The 27,636-nt window shown below is 37.9% G+C and overlaps 1 protein-coding gene and 1 long non-coding RNA gene across 5 annotated transcripts in view, besides 1 other annotated feature; one reads left to right on the plus strand and one right to left on the minus strand.

The window, feature by feature from the left end:
• GRM5-AS1 (GRM5 antisense RNA 1) lies at positions 2,868 to 22,346 on the plus strand. Its single transcript, NR_049724.1, has 6 exons — positions 2,868 to 7,231; positions 10,043 to 10,171; positions 10,356 to 10,456; positions 10,544 to 10,640; positions 21,183 to 21,259; positions 22,294 to 22,346. It is a non-coding gene; the product is annotated as a GRM5 antisense RNA 1 (long non-coding RNA).
• Positions 2,934 to 27,636, minus strand: part of GRM5 (glutamate metabotropic receptor 5) — a 561,341-nt gene continuing 536,638 nt past the window's right edge. For 2 of the 4 annotated variants that reach the window (NM_001143831.3, XM_011542792.2), the window contains exons 9-10: positions 23,601 to 23,696; positions 2,934 to 7,796 (exon numbers count right to left, since the gene is read on the minus strand). In NM_001143831.3, coding sequence (NP_001137303.1) covers positions 6,884 to 7,796; positions 23,601 to 23,696 — 1,009 coding nt within the window. In that variant the 3' untranslated portion in view covers positions 2,934 to 6,883. The remainder of the gene's footprint in view (positions 7,797 to 23,600; positions 23,697 to 27,636) is intronic. The other 2 variants (NM_001384268.1, NM_000842.5) reach the window with 1 other exon arrangement.
• Positions 7,545 to 7,654: a silencer, noted in NCBI's record as "silent region_3833". NCBI's record gives its function as "represses an Ori minimal core promoter by ATAC-STARR-seq in GM12878 lymphoblastoid cells {active_cell/tissue: GM12878}" and the evidence as "EXISTENCE:reporter gene assay evidence [ECO:0000049][PMID:35858748]".

Raw genomic sequence — 27,636 nt, forward strand, 5'->3', positions numbered from 1 at the left:
CATTTCACTGGTTAGGCAACATCTATTAATGCTGTATCTCACATATTGCTTCATCTGAGGCTGTTGAAGTTAAGGAAACTTAATTTCATTTGGTTCAAAACGTTTTGAACAAAAATGAAAGAACATAAATTGTAAAAGAAATCCCTCAGCTTGACCCGTGAAAGTAAAGTAAATGTGCTGACAGAGGTCTAAGAAATCAAAAAATGGGAAGAGAACAAATAATAAAATTGAGCAAGACTTCCAATGGTTCAGTAAAATGGCTCCTGAAGACAATGTTATAACTCTATCAATCTGTGTTTACTTCTCTAAAGGCCTAAGGAGATCATCATGGAAATGGCAATGAATTTTGAAAACTAAAAGAAAAAGTGTGTATAAATTATAACTTTTATATCATAGCATTTCCAAAATTCTTTTCATGAAACTCTACTCTGAGGAGACAGCTTCATTAGCAAAGTTAATGGATATTAGAATACTATAAATTGGGCCGGGCACGGTGGCTCACGCCTGTAATCCCAGCACTTTGGGAGGCCGAGGCGGGCGGATCACAAGGTCAGTAGATCGAGACCATCCTGCGAATGGTGAAACCCCGTCTCTACTAAAAATACAAAAAATTAGCCGGCGATGTGGTGGGCGCCTATAGTCCCAGCTTCTTGGGAGGCTGAGGAGGGAGAATGGTGTGAACCCGGGAGGCGGAGCTTGCAGTGAGCCGAGATCGCGCCACTGCACGCCACTGCACTCCAGCCTGGGCTACAAAGCGAGACTCCGTCTCAAAAAAAAAAAAAAAGAATACTATAAATTGGTAACTTCCGAAGTGAAGATAGCCATTTAATTTGGAATTACTACATTTTTCAAACTTTTAAGACTCTAAGAACTTTTATGAATCACCTATTACTATTCAGCAGTTCAGAAAAGCCACAATTTATTATGTGGTTTTCACGGACATAGAATTTGTATAATTTAAAATATAACATCTATCTCATCATAGAAATCTGATAGTATGAAAATTTTTATTTTTAATGTCAATGAATAAAAATACAAGCTATACATAAATAAGCCAAAGTGTCTGATATGTATATCACATAGGTATCCTGTATATAGATCATACCTCAAAGAGACTTATGTCCTGGCAAAAATAAATGTCTTTGTCCTGGTGTAACAGTAATTTAAAACATTTATTCTAGTGGAGGTTAAGTGTTCCTGGAAACTTTTGGTTCAGGATTCTAAGAGTGGCTGGAGAAGATGAGTTTAAACATTCTCTTCATAGAACTTATTTACTAACATAATAACCTAAAAGTAATAAACAGAGTGAGATGTAATAACTGATTCTGAGTTTTAAAATACTGTGAGAGAAAATGTAAATACCAAGCTTTTGCTTAAGGAGATAACTTCATTAATATAATTCTGCCTATCTATGTGCTTACCTACCTTTCTGCCTAGCTATCATACAAAGTAAATATTTGCAAATTGTTTATGTTCTAAAACTGATCATTCATGTACAGCATAACCAAAAACTTGGCCAGCATTCAGCAGCAATTATAACAGAGGAAAAGCATTCTCTCTGTGGTGTTCAATATCAATTTACTAAGTTGTCCTTGATAGACAGTTCCAAGGTTGCATATGAGTTCAAACCTCAATAGGTTTCCTCCAGGATATATGCTTTAAGTTGGACAGGAACTTGTTAAGCTCCACAAATAACATTGATATAACAAATTTAAGCTTCCTGCTGAATATTAACTGTATACTAAATACTACATTGACACTAATAATAGCTACTATTGAGCATTTATCAGGAATGTTGAAATGATAGAAACTTCACAGATTATTGTAACTCACTTCTGCATTTAAAGCAAGAGGAACAAGTTGTAGAGAAATCAGAGTGATTTATCCAAAGTCAGTTGGTGACAGGTAAGAGATCCTGGCTTTTAATTCAATGCTATTTCTATTGCATCCGCTGGTTTTAAATGGCCTTCCATAATTTGATGGAGTCTGATAAGGCTCTTTGGATTTTTAGAAGGTAATTTCCTGTACCTGGTTTGTATATGTCACTTCATCCTCAATTTTATGTGAACATATTACCATTCATATCACGTTAGAATAAAAGATACTGAAGGGAAGAGTCTGACAAAACAGATAAAATGGCTTTCTTTGTTAAGATCAAACACATTCTGTATAATATATGTATCTACATATGTATATATATCATTATGCATTTAATACAATGTCAGAAGCATAAATCAAATATATTTTTAAATATACCTTGTTTTTCTCTTCCATACATCAAGCATCTACCTTATATTCTGCTGTTAGTTTTTCACTAATTTGTGTCCAGGGAATGTATATTTGCTCAAGAATCAGTCAAAGTAAAACTTTTTTTTTTTCTGGAAAAATTATGTAATATGCACATACATCTACACACAAACACACATATACACAGAGACACATGCAGATGGACTCAAAAGTCAAATGTCTATATAAATATGTATGTTTGTAAACACACATCTATACACACACAAATAATCTATTTTATCTGTGTGATGTTACCTCTATCAACACATATAATTATGAAACTATTTCTATAATTTGTATGTCTAGATGCATAAACAATGCATATTTCCTATATATTTTTTTAAGTACTTCTTTATGTAACAGTTGTTTGTAGATGTGTTTGGGGACAACATCTCTGGTTGGTTTGTGGTTGGTTTATATTTTCATTTAAATCTATACAGTCCACTGCTTACTTTGTAAACCCCATAATTCAAATGTATAGATCATCCAGTATTCAAGATTAATTAGTATCATGGCTCTTTTCATCTCAGAAAACACTATTAAGACAACATTCTAAACATTTGAGGGGAATAATCTTAAAATCATATTATAGGTTTTTTAATTTTTTTGAAAAGTAACTGGCTTCACAAACACCAAGTACAACATGATTTAGACAACTGAGAAACAGGCAAGTATATTTTGAAGTGCTAAAATAAAACATATTTATACAAGTACAAAGCAAAACAATGCTGATAAAAATGTTAAACTTTATGAAAAAAAATCATTTGCAGTTCACATCAAAATAATTTAACATTCTCTATTATTTTAATAGTACAAGCTGCCACAACAGAGAAAGAACAGATACACGCACACAATTTTAAAACCAAATCAGTTATAAGTGCAGAAAAAAGTAAGTACAAGCACTTTTAGCCCACACAAATCTTTTAGGATTGGCACCATCTTTCTAAAACATCTATAATCTATATAGATTTCTAATTACAACACCATCAGCAGCTGCCATTGATTTCTAGAAATACACACAATATACATAGTATATTTGTTCACATTGGGAAGATCAGTGAAATTCAACCAACTATTTTATACATGCCTCATTCTTCAATAGACAGTAGAGACTCTCCCAGGCCTCAGACCCTCTTCAAAGTGAATTCTGACTTGTCTTTATGCTTTCACTGATCTGTATTTTTTCACAGTATAAAATTGTAAATGGTAACTATAGAGATTCTGACAGCTTGAGGGTTATTAATAAGCTGTTGCTAAATGTGAACTCACATAATACCTTTGAAGTCTCCAAAACATGTACATTTTACTGGGAGACTAGCATAGGAAATGCTTTTGTTTTTTGTTATTCTTAAAAAGAGCATTTAATTCCTGGCTTGGAAGTCACAGAACTGCAGCAGAGCTATTATACAATTCATTTACAGTCAGAAATAGCTCCTAGTCTTCCTGATCACTTGCTGGTAACAGCAGTAGTTTGGGAAAGATAGTTACTTTCAAGGATTAGCACGTTTGGGGATTTGCTTTTTTTCCTTGCTTCAGTCAAATCTCTTATAATTTTTCTTTCCATACTCCCTTTCTGTTCCCCATCCCTAGCCCAGAAAGACGGTTCTTCCCAATCCAGATATGTTCTTCTTAGGCTGCCCCCACTCCTTTCCCAAAATGGAAGGATGAGTGGACTGCTTAGATTAGTCAGTATAACTTGGTTAAACCACGTCTTCTTCTTTCCATCCTGGGACATATCTCTCATTTAGGGTCACTTTGCTGAGCCTTAGCATATCCCCTTCCTTTTAGTCATGCTGGTCCCGACTGAATTATCACTGGGCACCAGGAACAGATTGTTTTGAAGGAAATTCAATGAGAATGTACCCAAATGAATTGTGAAGTTCATATCCTATAGCCCTAGAATGAATATTCAGTTCTCTTTGTACTGTAGAGTTATTACTTGGAACCTGGTATTAGAATTGGCAAAGAGACAGAGTTAGCATCATTCCAAAATAAAAGATCTCAAGAATGCATTACTAATAATCTTATGTCCAACATACAATGTATTCAATGGAGTGGCAAAAGTTATAGAAATACAGAGAAAAATATATCTTGTCCTTTTCTAATTGGATAAATCATTTTTATTATTACAGTTGATTATGATAGCATGTGGAAGTATCAGATGGCAATTTACTTGCATTAAATTTAATTTCTGATGAAGTTTTTTATAAGGTAGTGTGCTTTTTAAGAGATATGTTACTAAAAAAATAGAAAATGAATTTGACCATGAACAAAGTTTAAACATGTTCTTCAACTGGTCTAGAGTGAAACGTATTGTACTTGAGAATAAAATGAAAATCAACATAAGGATTTTATAAAACAAATTTTAAAATGTAGAGCATATCAAGAAAGGTTTTTAATACCTAAGAAGTCAAGATAGGAATCCTCAGGTGAATGCCATCCTTTTGATGAGGATCCAAAGGGTATTAACACCTCAAAAGATTTCCATTTGTTTTTCAGATAGAGGCAGACATTTGCTTTTAATGAAACCATGAAACTTAGCTAGATTTCACTTACATTTTAAAAGCCTCGGTGTAATATTTGGGATCAGGGTGCTGTGATGATGTTATTTTCAAATCTAGCATGGGAGGTTCGATTTCTTTTAAATTAATACTTTAGTACATTAATGTTAGCTTTTAATGTTTTGTATTGGGAGGTTTGACTTAAAGTTGCAAGTAAGAACAAATAGCAGAAAAGAAAACTCAAGCAGAATATTTATTAGAATTTTTTAAAGTGAAGAATGATAAATTATGCCAATGGACTGACTTCTATTTCTCAGTTTATTTTCTGTTAAGTAGATGTGAAATAAAAAAAAATACTTACCAAAGTAAGGATATTGAGCTAAAAGAAAAAGTTTTATTTATTATTCTCTCTGCCAAAATATACTTCTGCCTCACAGCACATATTTTTCATAAGGCTATCTTAAGTATAAGGCTGGGTCAACTGAACTTTAAATTTATAGGACACCTCCTCCATTTATTACTATCCTTATTTAAAAATCAAAACATTTGGTACCTGAGGATAGCTGCAATGGGAGGAAGAAAGAGATGACAGTGGATTCAGGTCTTGAACTATGAATTCTACCTATTTGAGACTATCAAAGCACACTTGTTTCTGTTATACTCTAAATCTCTTTTCTGTAGTTTTAAAAAGTGACAGTATGAAGTGCACAAAATCATATTAATCATTATTTTAAAAAAGAAAATAAGAATTGCTTTGCCTCTTTTTGGAATGGCTAAGAAAGACTGTGTGGTTAATATTCATTAAGGTTCCTCTTTTTTAGTATTTTGTATTGCTTTGAAAAATCTACATTTGTCATAGTTCATAGCTGCCCTGTTTAAGCAGCCAAGAATAGTTAAAATCACTGCTCACTGGCATAGCTAAATCTCCACTAAGCTGACTTGACACAGTTAAAATTTTCAGTGTATTAAGATTGTGTTAATCCTTTCAACAACAGTCTCTCAAATCATGACAATGTCTTCATGGGGTCTATGGACCACTCTTCCAGTGGTGGGACTCGAAAAGAACAAAGGAGCTCTTTGTGCATCAGGTTCTCAAAATAAAGGAATGAAGAAGCCCCAATGCATATTTTAATATTTTAGTTGGCAATGCAAACGCAACAGCATTCCTAAAGAGTGGCCATGTTTCTTGAAAGAGATAGCCAGGCTGGAGCTCAAGAATGATTTTTATAAAGAGAATTTCCAGCTACAATGCACCCCAGTGAGGGAATTACAAAACAGTATTCCAGAAAATATTTTTTTTGCTACTCCAGTATTGATTGGCAACATGGTGAAATAGTCAAGAAATCTTCCACTGGTTTTCTTGGTTAATGGAGGTGAATCTGAAATAAGTAGGTGGAATCCCCGATGCAGGCTTTTGGAAGAGTATTTCACAACCCAATTGGAGAGGAAAATCTCTGGTAGAAGCCCTACGTAGTACATTAGCGCAGCACTCACTATCCAGTAGTGTGTTATGCATGGGACACATTCACAACGCCTCCGTAAATACTGGACCCAAGTTACTGCTTTTCAAGGTCTTTACAGGAAAGAAAAAACAAAAAGAAAGAAAAAAGAAAGAAAAAAGTTGATGTTTTGGTCCCAGATTTTGAGTTTGTTAGAAAATGTACATTCATGTTTGGTGAATCAAAGACTCTTCTGGGAAAAGAATTAAAGTAAACAAATAAAACTTTTTACAGTTGCTTATTAACTATGCTCTTCACCCTCCGTTACGCTGTTTCACACGCACTGCTTCCCTAGAGCAAAGCACTTGGTATGGAACTGTTTGAAGAGACGCCTTGTCAGCCCTCAAAGATATCAGCCGTGTTTCTTAAAAGCCCATGTTTTCTAAGGCCACTAGAAGAAAATCTGCCAAAAGATTTGTCGTCGGTTTCTTCGTCGGTTGTCATGAGATAGCACTACTGATCTCGTGTTTCCATTAAGGGGTGCCCTTGGCATCTTCCCCCTGGGCCGTAACCAGGCGACTATGCTTGCCATTGTGTGTGTGTGAACACGGGGGGCTCCGCTCCGCACGCGCAGGCCGGCGTGCTTTCCAGGGACATTCACAACGACGAGGAGCTCTGAGTGTAATCTCTTATGATAAGAGTGTCATATTTGGGAGACGACGGGATACAGAGGGCCGACTCGGACACTGGCGAGTTGGGGGTTGTGCTCCCCGAGTCCACCGAGTCTCTGAAGGGGGACGGCGGGGTGAGAGCCACCAGCTCCTCCAGGTCTGGCTTGGCGGCCGCAGCCTCGGGACCGGCCGCGGGGCTCTCCCGGGCCGCGTCCCCAGCCGCCTGCGCCCCTGCCGCGGGCTGCGCGCCTCCCGTGACTTCGATGGCCGGCAGAGGCTGGATTTCGGCAAAGGTCGTCATGGTCGTGGGCAACTGGATCTCTTTGGGGATCAGGTAGGACGAGCAGAGCGGGGCGCCGACGCCGGGGCTGGGGGCCGCGGTGGACAGCATCATGGAGTTGAGCTCGCTGATGTTGGCCGTGAAGCGGGTGACCACACTGCTGATCTGCTCCATGAGGGAGCCCTGCGAGGAGCTGCTGCGCGCCACAGGCTCCGAGTGCAGCGACGGCACATCGTCGTCCGTGCGGCTGGCCGAGCCCGCGCGGTGGCTCAGCGTGCTGATGGGCGACGGTGAGCGCGGCCGCGCGGGCGCCGGGAAGTGCTCCTCAGCCTCGGCCACATCATACAGCGCCTTGGGGCCGGCGTCTGGGGACTCGGGCCCGCCTGGGCCGGCGCCTGCGCAGCCCGCACCGCCCGTGGCCCCCACGCCCCCAGCGCTCCCGCCTGCGCCAGCGCCAGCGCCCAGGCCACGGCTCTCCGTGCTCTTGGGGAAGGGCTTGATGACGGCCGTTTGGTTGGGGTTTTCTTTCTTGTTGATGTGGATGGACAGGCGCTGCCACAGGTGCTGCCCCCGGCTGCTCTTCTCATTCTGGGCCCACGTGACGGATTTTCCATTGGAACTGAGGAGAGAAGGGAGAGGAAAGGTGACTCAGCGAGGTGCCCAGGGGGCTTGGATGCCGCTTCCCCAATGGTGGTTGCTCATGGGCCCCGGACTGGGGAGGACTTTTCTCATTCTTTCAGGAAACACAGCATCAAAAGGACATCATGGAAAGAGACCTTGGAAGTGGCTTTCCTTTGCTTGTTTTGAGTTAAAGACTGCTTTCTATATCAGGGCTTCAGTTTATCATAATCGTGAAAATGTGTCAAAGGGGATGCTTGTCAGGATGAAGGAGTGTTTATTAGGATTCTGCGGGAGTTCTGAGCCCACCTGTGAGTGCAGCAGCACACAGATGCAAGGGCTTGCAGTGTCCCGGCTGTGTGCACAAGTGCCTGGTACAGGACAGGGGCTTCCTAGAGTTAGTGGCCTCTGAAGGAAAACATTACCACTAGGACCCAAACTCACCAACAATCATCAGAGAGGAGGGAAGGGGTAAGAGAGTCAGGGATTACCAGGAGGTAGTCAGTGGTTCCAGTTCCGCCTTTATTCTGGAAGTTGGTATATATATAACTAGGGTTTTCTGTCTGAACCCCTGATTTTGAACATAGTGTTACTTAGGCTGCCTTACCTGCTGGAAAATAAAAATTTAATGAACACACATTTCTAATGAGAGCTTCTTTACTTCACAGAAATTCACCTCACAAATGTATTTTGAGTTCTGTACTTGAATAACAGTTCAATGAGTGAGAGTGCTGTATAATGCCTTCGGCACTTAGCAGAGTGATCTCAAATTAGGATCCTGGTGAATATTGAGGGACTGACAAGTTTTTTGAAGGCCTTTCTCTCTCTTTCTCCTTTGCACTTCCACCATGGGGTCTGAAAGCCACTCTCAAGATGTGATTGGTGCCTCAGCCTCAGCGCCCTAGTACCTCTCCTTACCACTAAAAGCTGACACAATAGCTTCTGAAGCTGCAGACGTTCTTTCAGAAACTTTACAAAGGTCAGAGAATGTGGCCTGACACTCAAGATTTTTTTTTTATTTTTTGTTTTTTAGACGGAGTTTTGCTCTTGTTGCCCAGGCTGAAGTGCAGTGGCGCCATCTCAGCTCACTGCACCCTCGGCCTCTGGGATTCAAGCGAATCTCCTGCCTCAGCTTCCTGAGAAGCTGGGATTGTAGGCATGCGCCACCACGCCCAGCTAATTTTGTATTTTTAGTAGATACGGGGTTTCACCATGTTGGTAAGACTGTTCTAGAACTGCTGACCTCAAGTGATCAACCTGCCTCAGCCTCCTAAAGTGTTGGGATTACAGGCGTGAGCCACTGCGTCTGGCCAGGAATGTTATATGAAGAGATTCTGGTGTAGTTTCCCATCACAAAGTAATCCAAGATCTCTGTTACTAGGGGGTCTGTTATTTTCAGTCAAGACAGCTCTGTTCTAGGGGCTGTGACCAACAGATAGCCTTGAGCAGCCTGACTACAAAAGAAGTTGAAGACTACAGTTTTATCATCACAGCCTATGGTTATTAAACTAAATTCTGTGTAAGACTCATCTAGGGCATTTGTCAAAGATATAAGATGTGACCCCAGGAGAGTCTGATTGTCTGGATTGGCTTCCAAGGATCTATGCTTTTGACAAGCATTCTGTTCTTCTGCTCCCAAAGTAAATCTGAAGCACTTTGTTTCTCAGATTCTTTCACAATCTGAGAAACTCTGGCAGAAAGCCATCCTTTTCTTCTAAATCCCCATCACTCCCCTTGGGCCCCCTTGCTGGAGGGCTGGCTTGCCTTTGAGGGGCTGGGGCGTGTACCTCATTTGGAATCCACCAGCCTTGAGGCTGCCTGACTGGCCCTGCAGGATCCACTCTGTCTGAGAAACCCACTCCCTTGGTAACAGACTGCCATTTCTGCATCCCCTTTAATGACATGCTTTTTGCCTCTTTCCACACTGCTTCCCATTTCTTTATCTGTTCCTTTCTACTTCATGGTCTTTCTTTCTCCGCTCTTTCCTGTGAAATTTCTTTCCATGTAATCTACCCAATATATTGTAGTCTCATGTCCTTCAGAATCCTGGAATATGAGCTTCTTCCACCCCACTCTGCCCTTCCTGGAAAGGATGAATGAACCATTTTCAGGTTTGGAGGTTGCTGTGCATCCATAGTAGCAGAGGGGGCACTGCCAAACAGTTGGTGTTCCTTTCTAGTAGTTTCAGGATTTATTTTTCAATTTTGCATTAGCCTGACTTACGTGTATTACAATTCTTTTTCCCAGGTGTCCACTAGCTTCTGGAACATGGCAGAGAAGAAATGGGCCAGTTTATTTACGAGATTTGATTGGGAGGATGGTTGCCAACTACACCCTTTCTCCTATCAGAAGGATAAGAAACAGGTGTTTCGAAAGGTACAAGTATTATTTCAGGTCACTAAGTCCCCTTTTAATACAAAGCATGGACTTGAAATCAGGAGACTAATTGGATTTATTCCACCAACTTTTACCTTAGGGACACTCTTGCTCCTAGTACAGAGAGGTTTTGCAAACACTAGCTTTTAAAAAGTTTCTCTCTCTCTCTCTCGAATGCCTTTAGTTGAACATGATGGAACATAACTTTGGATGTTAGCAGTAACAGTCTTTGGAATCACCTGTAGCCATGCCCCAAAACATGATAGCATGTTGCAAAACCTCTAGGTGAGTGTGTGATGAGGAAACCATCCTAATCAACCAATTCTGTACAAAGTATTGACATCTTTTTCCTGGCTGTGCCTTTGGTTACAGTGCCCATGGCCATAAGGGAGAAAGAGCACCAGACCATCTGAATAACGTGAAAGTGGACACAGGAAACACCAGACACCCAGAGAAATGGAGTCCAAATGTGAGTACTTCATTTCATTCTTTTGAACATGAAAGCTTTTTTTTCCCTGAAGTAAATGAGAACTCTTAAGAAAAAAAACAAAAGAAACTCCCTACTCACGACATTATTCTGTTTATTAGTAGAAAGTACATTCTATGAAGACACAGATCTTATCTATCTTTTTCAGTGACACTCAGCATGATCTTAATAAGCATTTGATGGATGAATAGGATTTTTAAGTTAACAGGGCCACTGTGGGGTGTCATGGAAGGTGCAATAGAATAGAGATCCTAAAATCCGGTTCTTATTCTGGATCTGCCATCCCAGATACTTGGAAAAGAATAATCTTTTTAAGCCTCGGTAAGAAGCAGACAGTGTCTCATTTGGTTAAGGTTGTTTTGAGATTACATGAGACAATGTAGGTGAAAAGAGCTGGTAAAGAGAAGGTGTCTAAGGATGTTCAGTTTTTATATTTTATGTGAATACAGCATTTCAGAAAATAAAAAGTATACTCAATGCCATTTTGAACCCTGGTTTAAGGAACAGAGAATTCAGTGCAAAGTAAAATATTTGGTAAGCCATAAAACCTTTCAGGTTCTTTCTCTTTTACCTGACCTGGAGTTCCATGATCCGTGGCCTCTTCACACCCTAAACTATCTCCTTGGGTGATCACCTCTACCCCATTAAATTCCAAATTAACCTTTTTCCTCAAATGCTTTCTCATTGTGCTACATCCTCTCTTCCTTTTTGCTTAACTGTATCCTCTTTTTTTCTTATTTTATTTTACCTTAATTGTCTTGTCTTAAAGAAAGCTTTCCTGACCCTGCTAGGCTAGATTCCTATGGCACCTGCATTCAGGCATATCATAACTCTTTGCTATATGTCTATCTCACCTGCTTGATGGGACATTATGAAGGCACAGATGGAGGGTTTGCTCTTTCCTATATGCCCAGTAGTACCCATGCATTGTTTAGAACATGGTAGTGCTCAGTAATATTTTTGGGCCAATGATTGAGTAGATAAAATGCAGTTTATTTTTAAAATTTATACTGAATTGTTTTCCTGTTAGAATTAAGTTTTTAAAATAATTCAGTGTTAATGAAACTCTATTTTGCCTTATGGATCTACTTTTACTTCTTATATACCTCCCTTTAATCAATAGTACTCAATGTCTACATATTTAAAAAATTTCATTAAATATGAAAATACAAAGCTTGATATCTGCCATGAAAATCACAAAATAATTCCTTCTTTATAACTCATATCTGTCTTAGTAAAATTGCTCAGTGGTGAAATCTCATCGAGGCAGTAGTGATAGTGGAAAGAAAGGACCCAGATTCTCAGTCCAGGATCTGACTCAGAATGATGTTGAGCAAATCACTTGCCACCTTTGAGCTTCTTTCTTTATTGGAAAAAAAGAAAAGAAAAGAAAAGAAATAAACCTCCCTTGCCCACCTTGCATGATGTCTGGGAAAAAACAAAAGGATAATACATATGAGGGTACTTTATAGAGCATAGCCCTTCTGCAAATGCAAGGGGTTATTCATTAACATTAAACCTTCTATTCAGTTGAGCTAAGATGTTGTATTTATTATTTAGGCTGAGATTTTTTTTTCAGCATCCATGTTATATGTTTGTCCTTGGGGGCTGAAGTAAGAAAAATGAAAGGGAACTTTTCTTTACCCATCTATGGCACGTCACCTTCCCTCACTGAATATTTTGGACATTAGAAAAGGAGAGGGAAAGAAGAATGAAGGAGAAAGGGACAAGATGAAATGATCTGCCACATCTGAGGAGGGGGCCAAAAGTAACGTCTTGCTCTCTTCCAGGCACCATTTAACCCTTTTGCAAAATATAATATGATGCCATCTAATGTTCTCTCTGTTATAATTATTTGCTCTTTATTTCTGAAAAACAAAAAGCAGCATATCAATAATGTTATTTGAGGATTAAGTTTTTTGTTTATTTGTTTCATTAGTTTTTGTTTACATTTTGGGTCTGCCAAAATGACACTTTCTATCTTTATTCTCAGAGGTTTATTTTTCCTGTTTTTCCCTTCCATATCAGAAACTTAGCAAATTTATTCATTTTCAAGCAGGGTCTGAATGTCATGTCAATGACCTCACCCAGTTTCTCTATTCCTCTGCTCAAACCTGCAGATATTAGAGTATTCTGCCATGGTACACCATCATTAGGAAGCAAACATTAATAGAGGAAAAAAAAGTTTGACCATCAAAAAAGTCAATGGAATTTATAATTCAATACAGGAATACAGTGTTAAGGTATTCACAAGTGTGACAAAAATGAGGATGGAAAGGAATGTACTGACATGAAAACTACTGTGGAAAAAAAAAGACTTTGGGTTTTTCTTATCAGGATTAGAAAAATTCAGAGAAAAAGTTGTTCACTGAGGAAAGAAGTTTCAAGGAAGGATTTGCAAATAAAGTGGATATTAACGAGGCCTTAAAGCTTGGGGATGTTAAAATAGCATGGATAAGCAAATCTCAATTAATACATGTATTGCATATATGGAAAGGAAACTAATTCTACATGTCTAATCCCAACTCCTCCAACAGCCCTAAGTGACGTGGATTTTCACCTCTCTCTTAAGTAGCAGTGGTTACATGTTTCCACAATAATTCCCCCAGAGAATCTTTCTTACCAGGCATTTAATCCCTAATAAATTCCTGGTGGGAGGAGAATCACTCGATCCTCTCTTAACTAGTCTTTGGTTTAACAGCAACAGGAAGCCTTTTCAGAAGCTACATGTTCATTCACGGTGGGTTATTAAAGTGCTTAATGGTACTAGTACAGTCGCTACTTCCCCTGAGTCCTCATAAGGAGCAAGCACCTTAACAAAGGAGAATATGACACGGGAGCATATGCCAAGCATTGGAATTGTGTTGAGTCATCACAGATATTTCCTTCTCAAATCAAACTATTTATTTTGATCCACAATTCTGTTACCTGGACTCAGCTTCAAAACTAAACTACTCTAACTGGTATTAGTTGGTAAAGTGATACAAAATTACAGCTAGGTACAAGGAATGAGCTCTGGTGTTCTGCAGCATTGTAGGGTGAATATAGTTAACTATAATTTGTTGTATAGTTTCAAGAAGCTAGAATAAAGGATTTTGAATGTTCACAACACAAAGAAATGATAAATGTTTGTGGTCATCGCTATGCTAATTACCCTGATTTTGTCATTACACTTGGTATACATGTAAGGAAGCATTCCGTATCCTATAAATGTGTACAATTATTAAGTGTCAACTAAAAATAAATTTAAAAAAATCTCACTAAACTACTCTTCATCCTGACATTTAAGTTCTAGGTCTTAGCTGAGATGTTTTAACAGCGATTAGCAAGAATTTTAGATTTTTGTACTTCTTTTTCAAAACAGGAAATGATTTTTACCAGCAATTACTATAAAGCTCAATTATAATTTAGTAAATAGAGAACAAAGCCAGACATAGCTGTTTTGTGTCTAGAAGCTGCTGCAGTCAGGAAGACTTTGTGGAGGAATTCAGCTTGATTTAAACCTTGAATAAAACATGGAATTGGGATTGGTGGCAAAGAAGAGGAGAATCCTGGAATGGTAATAGTTTCCATTTTAATAGAACTTTTCAGCTCACAAGGTGTTTTCACCTATGGCATCATATTTTACCTTCATAACAGCTGTCTAGGATAGGATTTATCAGATAGTTTTTTAATTACTTATTTACAAGTCTGTTCCTGCACTAAACCTAGAGCATTGCAAGGGCAGATGCTACATGTATCTCCTGTGCTTAATATGGTGTCTGGTGCAGAGTAGTGCAGAGGAGTGTTAGTGAAATAAAGTGAACTATATGATCTTGAATGTTTGATATTGACAGGTATTATTAACCTTCACTATAGATATGAGAAATGAGGCTTATGGAACTTAACTAAGTCGACCAAGTCAAAGTAAATGGCAGGACAGTGCCCCAAATCTGATGCTAAATCCAGAGTCATTCCCATTGTCTGTGTACTGAGTGCCAAGATACACACAGGAACCAAGGGGCTAACAAGACATACCCCTGTGGAGCATCCAAGATGGCAGTGCCCCAGGTTTTGCCCATAAAATAACCTGATAAATTCTAAAGCTCTGCATCAACATTGCTGAGATAAATCCTGAGGGACTGTAAGATAAAAGTTGTCCCAGGATGTTTAGAATGGTTGCTGGGAAAATAATTCCTGTTTAGGCAAAAGACTCCTTTCTGTCTTACAGCACCTCAGCTGAAGCTTGTGACTTAAATCTGATGTACGAAGGGGATGTTAGTTATGAGGCTTGAATCCTGGGTGCAGATTCACCACCAATATGTTTATTGTCAGTGAAGTCTCTTGGTTTAAGAAGGAAGTTTCTTGATTATCCTGGTTTTTTTTTTTAATTGGATAAAATGGGCATATGCCTTATATCTGTCAGTTCTAGTCCCATTTCCTGTGGAATTCTTGGGATGCTGAGCACTGTATCTTTGTACTATTAAAACAAATTTAAATCTACCATGGACACCATTATTTTGCTTAATGTCAATCTTGTTGCTTCCTCAAAGACAATAGAAATCTTTCCTTTCTCTGGACCCTTAAAAATTAATTGGGTAGGTTAATTAAGATATTTCCTTAATATTTCCAGATTAAGATATTTTGTTAATATTTCCAGATTAAGATATTTCCTTAATATTTCTAGATTAATTGTGTACCCAATTAATTGGTTACACAAACATACAGCTATTCCTGATTAATGTTTACTTTTTTCTTACAATTGTAATATATTGGCTTCTGTACACACACACACACACACACACACACACACACACGTTTCTGATCCCCTCATTTACATTCTTTTAATCTTTAAAAATATCTGTGCATATGTGTTGTCATATGCATGCTATTAAATTGACTACAAAACTGAGGATTAGAGAGGTTCAAAGAACTTGTGTGCATAAAAGTAGAAAATACTTAAGGTATAAACATCTTGGTAAAGCCAAGATTTTTGATAAGCTACTGATTCTTGGAGAATGGAAGACAGTGTGTGTAAAAGCTTAGTGTGCTTTGAAGGCATGTGAGACACAGTGGCAAAAAAAGTTTTAAAAAATGATTAATAATAAATAACATTTGTGTTGAAGAATCAGTTCAAACTAACTCATTAAACATGGGATTAGATAAAATGATTGATTTAAATTTTCAGAGCACTCAGCTTTGCTGAGTAACTTTCGTCTACATTTCAATATTACCATTATACATAATGGGAATATGCCAATAAGATTAGTTGGACACAATTCCCAAATTTTATCCATATCTTTAGGTGAGACTAAAAGTAGAAAGTATTCCTTAAAATTCACTTCCCTCTCAAGAGCATACAAGTTTGGACTTGATGACTACATGTCAGGCGGTTCCCATTTTGGCTTGGCATTTTCCATTAGAAATGATTTTGATTTCCTTTTTCCTTTTTTACAGAAAATTACAAGCTAGCAAATCTATTGTTTCAGATAAAATATATGCATATATATTGTATATAACTACTGAATTATCTACAAAAACTATACATTTGTACATAAATGTGTGCATATAGATGTGTGTGTACATATATATGTCTATTTACAAAATGTTTTTCACAGGCAAGAACAGCAGCCTCACACAAGGCTTTGACCAGCTCCTCCTTTTTTTCAGTAAAAAGAGTATTAGATAAGATGAGAATTGAGCAGAAACTGAGATGAGAGAGTCATAGAATTCAAGTATTCCTGTTACATTTCTGTATTACATTTTTTACAGGCTAAGAAAAGAGACTGTTCAATTTAATAATATAAAAAATAGAATATGTTCAATTTAATAATATAAAAATAGAATATACTCTGAGTAGTTAGTAATTCTTTCAGAAAAATAAGAAAAGATAATTAGAAATCTGGTTAATATTTGTGGTATTTAATAAAGCTAGTAAATTTCAATTCCAGTCACCAAACATTAGTTAATCTTTTTGGTTTTTGCTGGTCTTATAAGGACTTATCTGGAAAAATGCTTATAATAAGATTTCAAGGATTACTATAAGCTACTCATCATACATAATTTTGATGCTATGTTTTTTGATTAATTTTTTATAAAATTAATTGGTAAATGGTATAGAAAGTAAGAATGACAATAGATGGTTCATGAATAAATGGTTTCAGGGTCAAATAAATGGTTTCAGGGTCAAATAAGTTAAACAAATTAAACTAATTTCTGATGAATTTATCAATTTTTTATGTAACTATTCACTGAGAATTTCCAAGAAGGGCATATGAGCATATATGTTGGCTCCATTATTGTTAGCCATACTGTCATCCCTGCTTCCCTCCAATCCTGACCACCATCCAAATCTTGGCCTTATTATTGGTATCACAGATTTAAAATTTTAATGTAGACTATTGCTCTTGCAGGTTCCATCAGAGCGAGTTTTATTTCTTTATTAAGATTGTAATTTCCTTTAGGGTGGAGATTATTTTATACTTCCCCAAACACCCCATGGTCCCTAAAACAATGCTACCTACATACACAAAAATTATCCAGGCACTTTTATTGAGTGGTTGATTGACTCAATAGACTTCTCACACTGTTGAGTACTGAAGACGTAAAAGTGAACCATACATTTTTGTTTTGTGGCCTTAAAAACCTCAAGTTTAATGAGAAGACACAGGCAACTAGATAATATGCAATATCGGATGTAAAGGTAAAATACATTAGAATTATGAAGTTGGGCAGAGTTTAGCTAGACTAAGACTTTTAGACACATCAAGGAGGAATGGACATTAGAGTTGGGTTTTGAAACCTGAGTAGGTTTGCTAGGTGGAGCAGCAATGGGAGTTCCTTCTCCCTGGAAGAAGATGGATAGAAAGAGAAATGAAGGATAATCCAGATAGAAACACAGCATGTCTTAAGTCTTAAGATGTGCTGTTGTAGAAAATAGTTAGCATGTTTGGAGACTTGTATATCTGGGATGTCTGGAAAGGAGAACATATGTACAGAAGCAGAAGGAATGATGGTCAAATAGTTAGGTTAGGGTTAGTTTATGAAGAACCTTGTATTCTGAGTGCATGAGTTCGTATTTTTTTCCTGGGTGGCTGATAACATAGTGATTATAGTATGTGAATTGCAGAATCAGACTGAGTTGGGCTCTAATATGGGCTTTACCAATTTTTTAAGGAAGATTAAGTGAGCAATCATGCAGATAAAGCATTTGACACAGTGTCTCATGTATCTAAGTACTCAATAAATGTTGGCTGCTTTTATAGGTAAACATGGGAGAACATGAATTTTAAAACAGGGAAATTATATCATTGAATTTATTCTTTTGTTATCATTAGATTTTGTTTTACTTACTTTTCCAGAATTGATTTTTGAGCAAACAACCATGGTGGCAGGGTAGAGAAAGACAAGACAAAACAGTAAATACGTAAAAAACAACCTTTCTAAACTGGGTGGCCTTGGATAGTAAGAGCACATGCTAAAATTTATTGAATGCCTATTGTGTGTCAGGCAATATGCTAAGTGCTGTACTTATATAATTCCATTTATTTTTCACAGCATCACAGTAAGATAAGTGCTATAATATAATCTGACGTTTATAGAAAATTGATATTAAAGAGTTGAAATGACACTCCGTGGTCACACACTGGCTAGTGCCAGAACCAGATATTGAAGTTCCTTTGATTTTAGATTTTTCATGAGATTGCTCTACTGTGTATGTTATTTTATTTCCCTGATCCTCATTTTCCTGTGTGTAGCATGGGAAGAAAAAAAATTATACCTTCTTTATATGTTCTTGGGAGAACTTAATGCAGAACCTCCATGAAGGGACTTAGTATAGTGTGGGATACATGGTAATCATAGCAATGTTACTAATTCTTCTTCTTCTTATTTTTTAGAATATGTTAGAATATTAATATGGAATTGATTTTGGAGATAAATAAAGTGAAGGTTATTGTAGAAATTCTAATCTATTCTCAAAAACCAGCTGGCTTCTATTGTCTGTACTGGAAAGGCAGAATCTTTCTCTTATCTATGGAGTTTAAATTATATAACTACATGCCTTACACTTTCTGAATACTCAGTTTACATCTGTTATTATGTGTTATTCTATTACTTTTAATTCTGTTTGTACTGGTACAAACTATAGCATGTGGTAAGAAATGGGCACTTAATCTGAGGCATAAACTCCCCTGTGTTAGAGGAGTTTTATATTGCATTGCAGTTATCTGTTTTTCTGCCTGTTTCTCAATACACTGCAGATTTTCAAGGGCATTAGTCATATCTTGGTCATCCATTTATCTCTAGAGTCTTTTGAGTCCTTGGTTCATAATAGGTGCTTAATAAATGAGCTTTACCTGAAGGAAGAAATAATTGAATGAATGAAAGGCAATCCTAACACAAGACATTGTATTTGGGGCTATCTGAGGTCCTACTCATTTAACAAGGACTATTATGACATGACTCTTACCAAATTCTCCAAGCCTTTATTAAACATATGTACCTACTAAAATTAGATGCTGCATATCACAGGAGAAAATCAGTTACTCAACTAATTGAAAGTTAATAGTTTGCATAGCTTATATCACAAAAGAGTAATAATAATAATTCTCTTTTTGTTCAAAAATAACCCCATCCCACCCTCCTTCCTTCTGGCACTGGAGGGGGACTAGAGAGCTGTCTATTTCATTTGACTGACGGAGCCCTTCCTCAAAGAGAGACTAGGAGGCTCAGAATGTCTTTGTTTCTCCTTCGTGGCCTACATCATGAGCACATCAGAAAGCAGATTCCAGCCAGGAGTGGTGGCTCACGCCTGTAATCCCAGCTTTTTGGGAGGCCTAGGTGGGTGGATCACAAGGTCAAGAGTTCGAGACTAGCCTGGCCAACATAGTGAAACCCCGTCTCTACTAAAAATACAAAAAATTAGCCGGGCGTGGTGGCGGGCATCTGTAATCCCAGCTACTCAGGAGTCTGAGGCAGGAGAATCGCTTGAACCTGGGAGGCAGAAGTTGCAGTGAGCCAAGATCGCACCATTGCACTCCAGCCTGGGTGACATTGCAGACTCTGACTGAGAAAAAAGCAAGCAAGCAGATTCCAAGTACTCCAATGCCATGCCCCTGCTGACACAGAAGATAATAACATTCAGTGTTGAGGTTTCAGTCATTCAGTCATTCCTGAGGCTGGACCATCTTGCTAGCAACTCACATGGTAACAGTGTTTAGAGAATTTCAGTTCTTAGAGCCACCTCCCTGTTTAGGACTCTCTTTTACTTCTCCTGCAATCAGGAGGATTCTGCTCTGAATCACACTTAGACTGTCCACTGTGAAAATATGAAAAGATGACAAGTTATACTATATTCAGACATGAGGTTAAAAAAAAAGCCTCTTCACATAAAGGGAAAACAGCAACATATTTCAGGAAGCTAGTGTGCTATGGGGACATGTTATATTCTCATTCCTTTCCCAGCATGAGGGTTGAGGGAGGAAGGCAGAAGTAAAGGAGCATCTGTCTAAGGCCCTGCTAATGTTACAGATCAGAAAATAGTGCTCTGCTCTGCTTCAACTGTAAACACTGTGAAATGCTTTCTTTCCCCACCAGGCAACTTGGCTCTGGGATAATCATCCTAGGCATGAATTCATAGAGTACTGTCCATTCTACAGCTTCATTATACAAAACAGGCAAATGAGATGCAGAGTGACACTCTCGGTTTTCTGTGGTTGTTTGAGCTCCCCTTAACCCCTCCCTGGAACTAGCTATTCAATAATGGCCACAGAGGAGTCCCAGATGTTTGCAGAGTAAATGTGATGCTTGGCTTTGACTCCTGGAAGCAATAGGGGGTGGAGTAGGGATGAATTACAAAGAAAGGCCTTATTGGTTGACGCTAAAAGTACCTATAAAAGTCTCACATACATAGAGTTAACCTTTCTTCAGCCCTTCTATTCCATTCCTGAGTAAGCAAATTTGGATTAACTACTTCAACCCCTTACTTAGAAACGGCTTCCATCACAGTTATCTCCTCTCTGACAGCTTTCTCTTAATGTTCATTTTAAACTTATTTCTCCTGGATAAATATGTGTGTGCAGGCATGTGTGTCTGTATTTATGTGAACAAATGTGAAGTTGGAAAAAAAGATACCAAGACCTTGTGAATTTTGACCTCTCTTTTCATATGTCTCTAGGCCTTTTCTACTCCCTAAGGGAAAGCTTAAGCATGGCAGGTCTCTCTTCTCTCTCTCTCTCTCTCGCTCTCTCTCTCTCTCTGTGTGTGTGTGTGTGTGTGTGTGTGTGTGTGTGTGTGTGTCAGTTTTTATATAGTGCTAAAGAAATGAGAAGGAAGAGATACTAGGAAGGGAAGATCATTTGTTCCCAATTAACTCTGCTTATCTGTGTGGCTGAGGTGGATGATCTAACACAATTGTATTTATAGTAGTATGCATTATTCCCCTCTCCTCCACCAGGATATATCAGTGTAATAAGCCTTTCTATTATCTTGGCTATATCCAAACAAGTGAGGAAACAAAAATTAAATGATATCTTGCGGTTGTAGAGAAACTCAGACCATTCTTGCTGGAGATACATCAAGTGAATACCTTTGTAGATCTGGACCTGACCCAAGGAAGCCTGGTATGTTTATCTGGGATCTCCTACTCTCTGTGTACTACCCTCTCTGTCCCTTTCCCCTCATTCTCAATTAAGACAGCCTTGAGCAAATTTAATTTCTGTGATGATCAGATCTAAAGCTCTAAGTATTGACTAAACACTGCTAAGAGCATCGAATTGCATAATTGAGACCAAATGCTTGCCACAAACAGCTCCATGTCATCTCCTACATGAATGGATTACTCTAAAATATCAGTTCATGCACTGGCTTCTTTGAGATGACCTAGGAAACTTGTTACATGACAGATTCCTAAGTTGTATTGCCCAATATTTTGCCTCAGTCTGTTTGATAGTCAGCTAAGTTTGCCAGGTTTGGGAACTCCAGTTTTAGACCTCAAATTAGAAGTCACTCTGGGAAGAGCCCTTGAGCACTCATTTGGTGAAGTCACTTTAACCTTGTCCAGCTTACTCTGGTGCTGTTTGCCTAATTTTCAAGGATATGAATTATGCTACTTTGTTATATCTAAGTGGAAGGAAAATAGGAGCCCCAATAGCATTCTGTTGAGTCACTTCCACAAAATGATCCTCTGAGACTCATTTTGCAGATGCACTGAGATCCAAAGATAGCTGTATAAAGGGATTGTAGGCATAAGGCCATCAGATACACCAAAGTACACACATATATGCCTACACATGTACACACACTATCATTGCCTTGTCTCTGAGAACCATAGACAAAGTTGGCCAAGCCCTTGGCCAGGACTGTTGTGAATGATTGCTCAAACTGTATGCTGAACAGTTCTGGGCACCATTTTCATAGACTGCAATATGAATAGTCCACCAGCAGTTGTGCAATATGGTGGGCCTTGGAAAAATGTAGTTATTATTTTGAAAATAGGAAGGAGCCCACCACTGAGGAAGCAAACAAAATGTTTGTGGTGAAATTTCAACAGGATTATCTTCTTGTTATGCAATTAGGTCTCAAGCTCTGCTCTCAGCACATGGACATGCATATGCACATACTCTACTTATTGAATTTTTCCTTTTCTCTAATCCAGGATGATTTGCAAAAGTTTTCCTTCCATACCTCTACACCACAGATGGATTGAGAAATGTCACAACAAATTAGAAGTGAAGAGTTAAGTCATGGCAAGTGACTCCTCAACTCAAGGCTCCTTCAACATTCTGGAACTGTTTAATGTCAATCTTGACTTTGTCTCCAGGGCCCTTTTCTTTTCTTTTTTCTTTTTCTTTCTTTCTTTCTTTCTTTCTTTTTTTTTTTTTTTTTTTTTGAGACAGTTTTCACTCTCGTTGCCCAGGTTGGAGTGCAATGGCATGTTATCAACTCACTGCAACCTCTGCCTCCTGGGTTCAAGCAGTCCTCTGGCCTCAGTCTCCTGAGTAGCTGGAATTACAAGCGTGTGCCACCATGCCCGGCTAATTTTTGTGTTTTTAGTAGAGACGGGGTTTCACCACATTGGCTAGGCTGTTCTTGAACTCCTGACCTCAGCTGATCCACCCGCCTTGGCCTCCCAAAGTGTTGGGATTACAGGCGTGAGCCAATGCGCCCGGCCCCAGGGCCCTTTTCTTAAAACCAAATCCCATGCAATAAAGCACGTTTATTTCATGCAACACAGCTTAGTTAATGCTTATACTTCCAAATACTCCGGTTTACTAGGTACAACTCAATCAGGAGTGCCTAGTATAAAAGAACATGCACAGCACAGCGACAGAGAATGTTCATCACCAAACACAAGGAAGCAAAGGAGATGCAAAGCTATGGTAGCTAGAGGAGGATTAGCTTTCCTGATTTCAGTTTGAGAAAAGCCACTTGTCTCTACAGTCCACTAGTTTGGCAAGGCATTTGCCCTTGGCTGTGAGATGATGTTACATTCAAAGTAAGGTATATTAATTTCCAGGCTTGTCCAGGATCAGGGGCTGGAGTCTTCCTTCAATAGTAATCCTTTCCTTAAAACCAGTTCTAAGCTTTGTATTTGTTTTATTAAGTGATTGGATAGCCCTGAAATATGAGTTTCCTCCAATCTCTTCCACTTTGCAAACTCCAGAACCGTTTGACCAATAAGTTAAAACCCAGAGGAGGACTGACTGTGAGCTAAGGCTTCAGACATGCAAAGCGCACAACCCTGGGAAACAGCAGCATCTGGGACAGGAGGCTCCCATTACTACACATGAGGGTGTCATAGGTTTTGCAAATCAAACACACATAGAAAACCAGTAGTAGCCTGGGTTGGACACACTGTATGAGTTGCACAGTTGAGTGAGGACCCAGACCAGGGAGCCACATGTTCCTCTAGCTTGCATACATTTATTTCACACCACCTCAGGCCACTCATAGTTTGCTTACCTGCTCATTGTTGCTCTCCCACCATTCCCCATACTCCCTTTGGGGGTGAAACACTCTATTTCCGACTTGTGCTGGGCCAGTCTCCTGTCTTTGTACCTGGTGAGCATGAACAAGGACAGGAGCAAACAGAAAGACGTGATTGTGTGCTTAACTGCCAGGCTGAGGAACGGCCGTGACTGTGGAGATGGTCACTCTGTGCCAAAATGGGGGTTCCTGCTTCTCAATGCAATGACCAACCTGTGATACTTATTAGATGAATGTGATGGCATATGGACAACATCAGGGATGACGTTGTTACTTTTTGGTTAAACCACATGTAACCCATTCTTTCACATTGCCTATTAAACTGAATATGTCACATTTAATAGTCAATGGTAAAGGTGTGCAATTTCTAGCATCTTAGAAAAAGATGAATATCAATCAACACATTAGAATCTATTCAGTGCTTACCATGTGTCAGACACTATGCTAGAACTTTACCTAAATTGTATCCAGGCAACAGCCCTGGGCCAGAGGCTTTGTTATCATTTCCATTTTACTGATGAAGAAACCTAAGATTATAGAGGTTAAGCAAATTAATCAAAGATTAGTTAATTAAATAAGTGGTTGGGCTGGATTTTGAATACAGGGAATCTAAGTTTAGAACCCACACTTCAGCCATTATAATGTGTTGCCTTCCATTATCAAGTTTTTAAGCTAATTATTATCTTGAGCAAGCCCTCATTGAGTGATACCATTCTGGATGTTGTTAGACATTGGCAATAACAGAGGAGAGAAGACATGTTCTTTGGATATTAAAAGTTTCTGTAAACATTAAGCTGAAGTTTTACTGTCAGTATTGGGATGCCGCCATTATTTTTGTATTATAATTGGCAGTTCACCGCGCTTTGAAGATACCAGATATTTCATCTAAAATAAGTGATGAGATTCCCAATATTACTCTTCTACGTGGTGCATCAAGATGAGTTCTTGTATCTCAATGACAGTTTTTTGAGCTAACATGATTTCACAGAAATAACCTCTTTTACTCATTGGTTCGATTCTGTAAGGTTTTTAAAAAAGAACTGTTATTTCCATTTGCCAGATGAGGAAGCTAGATTTACTTAACTGACTTCATGAAAGTCACAAGCCTCATCAGTAGAGAATAACCACCTGTAGAGCTTGCAGGGGCCCAGAGCTCTTAAGGTTTTATTACCTTTTCCCTAATTAAACTGGAGCCTGGTATAACACCACTTCATCCACCTTCCTGGTATCCAGTAGGCTATGATAAAGGGAGTTACTATAATAAGACTTGTTTATCTCAGTACAGTCACACTCTTTTTAGTTTATTTTCCTGCTGTTTCAAAAGTAGTATAAAATAAAATAAAATGCAACAAAGTCAACATCATTATTGATCCTGGGGCAGAGGCCTTCCTCTTAATTTTTTTTCCCTTCTAAAATGTTTAAAGTATCTAGTATTTGAAGAAAAATGGCTTATTACATCAAGCAAAATGAATTTAATGGATTACCTATTTAACGGACATTAGTTGAGCATTTATTAAATCCTAGGTAATGGACTTTGCACTACAGATGTAAAGATAAGTAATCTGCAGGCCCCACCTGTTAGAATTTACCTAACAGTAGGAGAAGGAAGGAAATAAGAAATACGTACACAAGTAATTTTAGATGTAGGCATAAAGAAGAGAGGAAAAGAACTTAGAGACTTTGTTAAAGGAGGTAAATCATCAGACCAAGCTAGATTGAGTAGACTTAATTTTACCAAGAAAATACCTTAGAAGTACCAATGGCCAAATGATGCTCAATGTTTCAATGCAAAGTATTTTGTGCTTCTTTGTGAATTGGATTGCTCAAGCAAAATACTGCTCGACAGCTCAAATTAAAAGAATATTGATAGAATAATAAATTATTGGTGGTCATTCACTTCCTTACAAAGGGATCCTTAACATATTTTTGAATATCTTCTGTTAGGCTAATTGTGAATTAATCATTAAATATTTCATAGATGAGTTAAGAAACCTACAGTCTTCATGCTTATAAGCTCTTCTCTTTCTTTCTTTCTCTCATGACCACACACACTCTGCCAGGTGACCTCTGTTTATGAAATATGGAATAGATCCTAAGCATCTTATTCTATCAAACTCTAACCTCTGTGAAGAAAAAGGAATGCTTACACACTGCTAGTGGGAATGGAAATTAGTTCAGCCACTGTGGAAATCAGCTTGGCAATTTCTCAAAGAACTTAAAGCAGAACTACCATTTGACCCAGAAATCCCATTACTGGTCATATACCTAAAGGAATATAAATCTCTCTATCATAAAAACACATCCATGTATATGTTCACTGCAGCACTATTCACTATAACAAAGTCATGGAATCAACCTAAATGCCCATCAACGGTAAAATGGATAAAGAAAATGTGGTACATATACATCATAGAATACTATGCAGTCATAAAAAGAATGAGATCATGTCCTTTACACATGAATAGCACAGGAGGGCATTATCCTAACCAAACTAATGGAGAAACAGAAAACCAAGTACTTCATGTTTTCATTTATCAATGGGAGCTTAACACTGAGTACGCATGGACACAAAGGGAAAAATAGACACTGGGGCCTCCATGAGGGTGGAGGGTGGGAGGAGAGTGAGGATCAAAAAACTACCTACCAGATTCTATACTTATTACCTGGGTGATGAAATAATCTGCATATTATACCCCTGCAAAACACAACTTACCTATAAAACAAACCTGCACATATACCCCTGAACCTAAAAGTTTAGAAAAACCATAGAAACAAAACAAAAAACAAAAACAAAACCTAACTGCTTTTGGTAAAAGCTTTCACTGACATATAAAAAACAAAATAATGAAAATTCAAAACAATAATAACAAAACTCATTTTAAAAATGTGAGCAATATCTTAGACTTTTTGGAACTTTCAAGCAGTTTTTGTATTCAATGCAAGCTGAAAATGGCATTAATACAGAATGGGAAACTCATCATTGCTTTCAGATAGGACCCTACTTGCCTGTCTGTACCTGTAATTATATTCACCAGATATTTAAATAGATCATATTTTTATTCATTCACTTACTCATTATCCCATTTACCAGTAATGTGCTGTTCAAAATTACTAATAGATTTAATAGTCTCAACTGTTGAGTTTAAAAACTCAACATTTTTTTCCAGTTGAGTTTATTTTAGAAATATGGAATTGTCAATTAAAAATAGTTTAAGCTTTTCAGAATTTACAGATCATGGAATATCAATTTTAAAATTTCATTTCTTTTACATAATAAATTTATATATCAGATACTAAAACACCCATACACTCATACTTGTAAGGCACTGTTTCAAGTGCTTTGCAAGTATTAACTCACTTTTCAAATGAAATGTTTAATTTACTATATTTATATTCAAAGTTATAATAAAAAGTAATAATGACAAAATATTGAGCATGCCAGGCTGTTTGCTGTACACTATTGTAAATTATTAAAACAGCCATACAAAGCAGCTGCTATTATTCTCATTCTGAAGAGGCAGACACTGAAGATCAGTGTCAGTAAGCCCAACCTCATGTGGTTTATGAGCAGGGAGCCCAAGGTTAAAAATCAGGTTTCTCTGATTCTAAAGCTCATGCTATTTCCATTAATTTTTCCTCCAAGTAACAATATTACTACGTTTAAAAACAAAATTACAAAAGCTTATTATTTACCTTTTCTCTTCTTGACCCCGTTTTGCAAATAAGTAGCAGAGTTATCAAGTACAGGCAGTAGAGAATCTAGTGATAGGACTTTAAATTTTGTTACTTCCTTTAGGTCCCTATGCCTGTACCAGGCAGGTTTAGTTGACATCATTCAAAACCGTTTACTGAATAGTCCATGTGCTGGGCACTGTGATAAGGAGCATATGGGTGATTATGTCATTGATAAGGTCACAGTCTTGAATGAGAAGATGAAATGTAAACAGATAATTTCCAAACAATGTAAGAAGTTTTATTATAGAAACAAATACAAGAAGGGTTACTTAACCCA

Source organism: Homo sapiens, chromosome 11, assembly GCF_000001405.40.
Source record: "Homo sapiens chromosome 11, GRCh38.p14 Primary Assembly".
In the NCBI taxonomy this organism is placed as follows: Eukaryota; Metazoa; Chordata; class Mammalia; order Primates; family Hominidae; genus Homo; species Homo sapiens.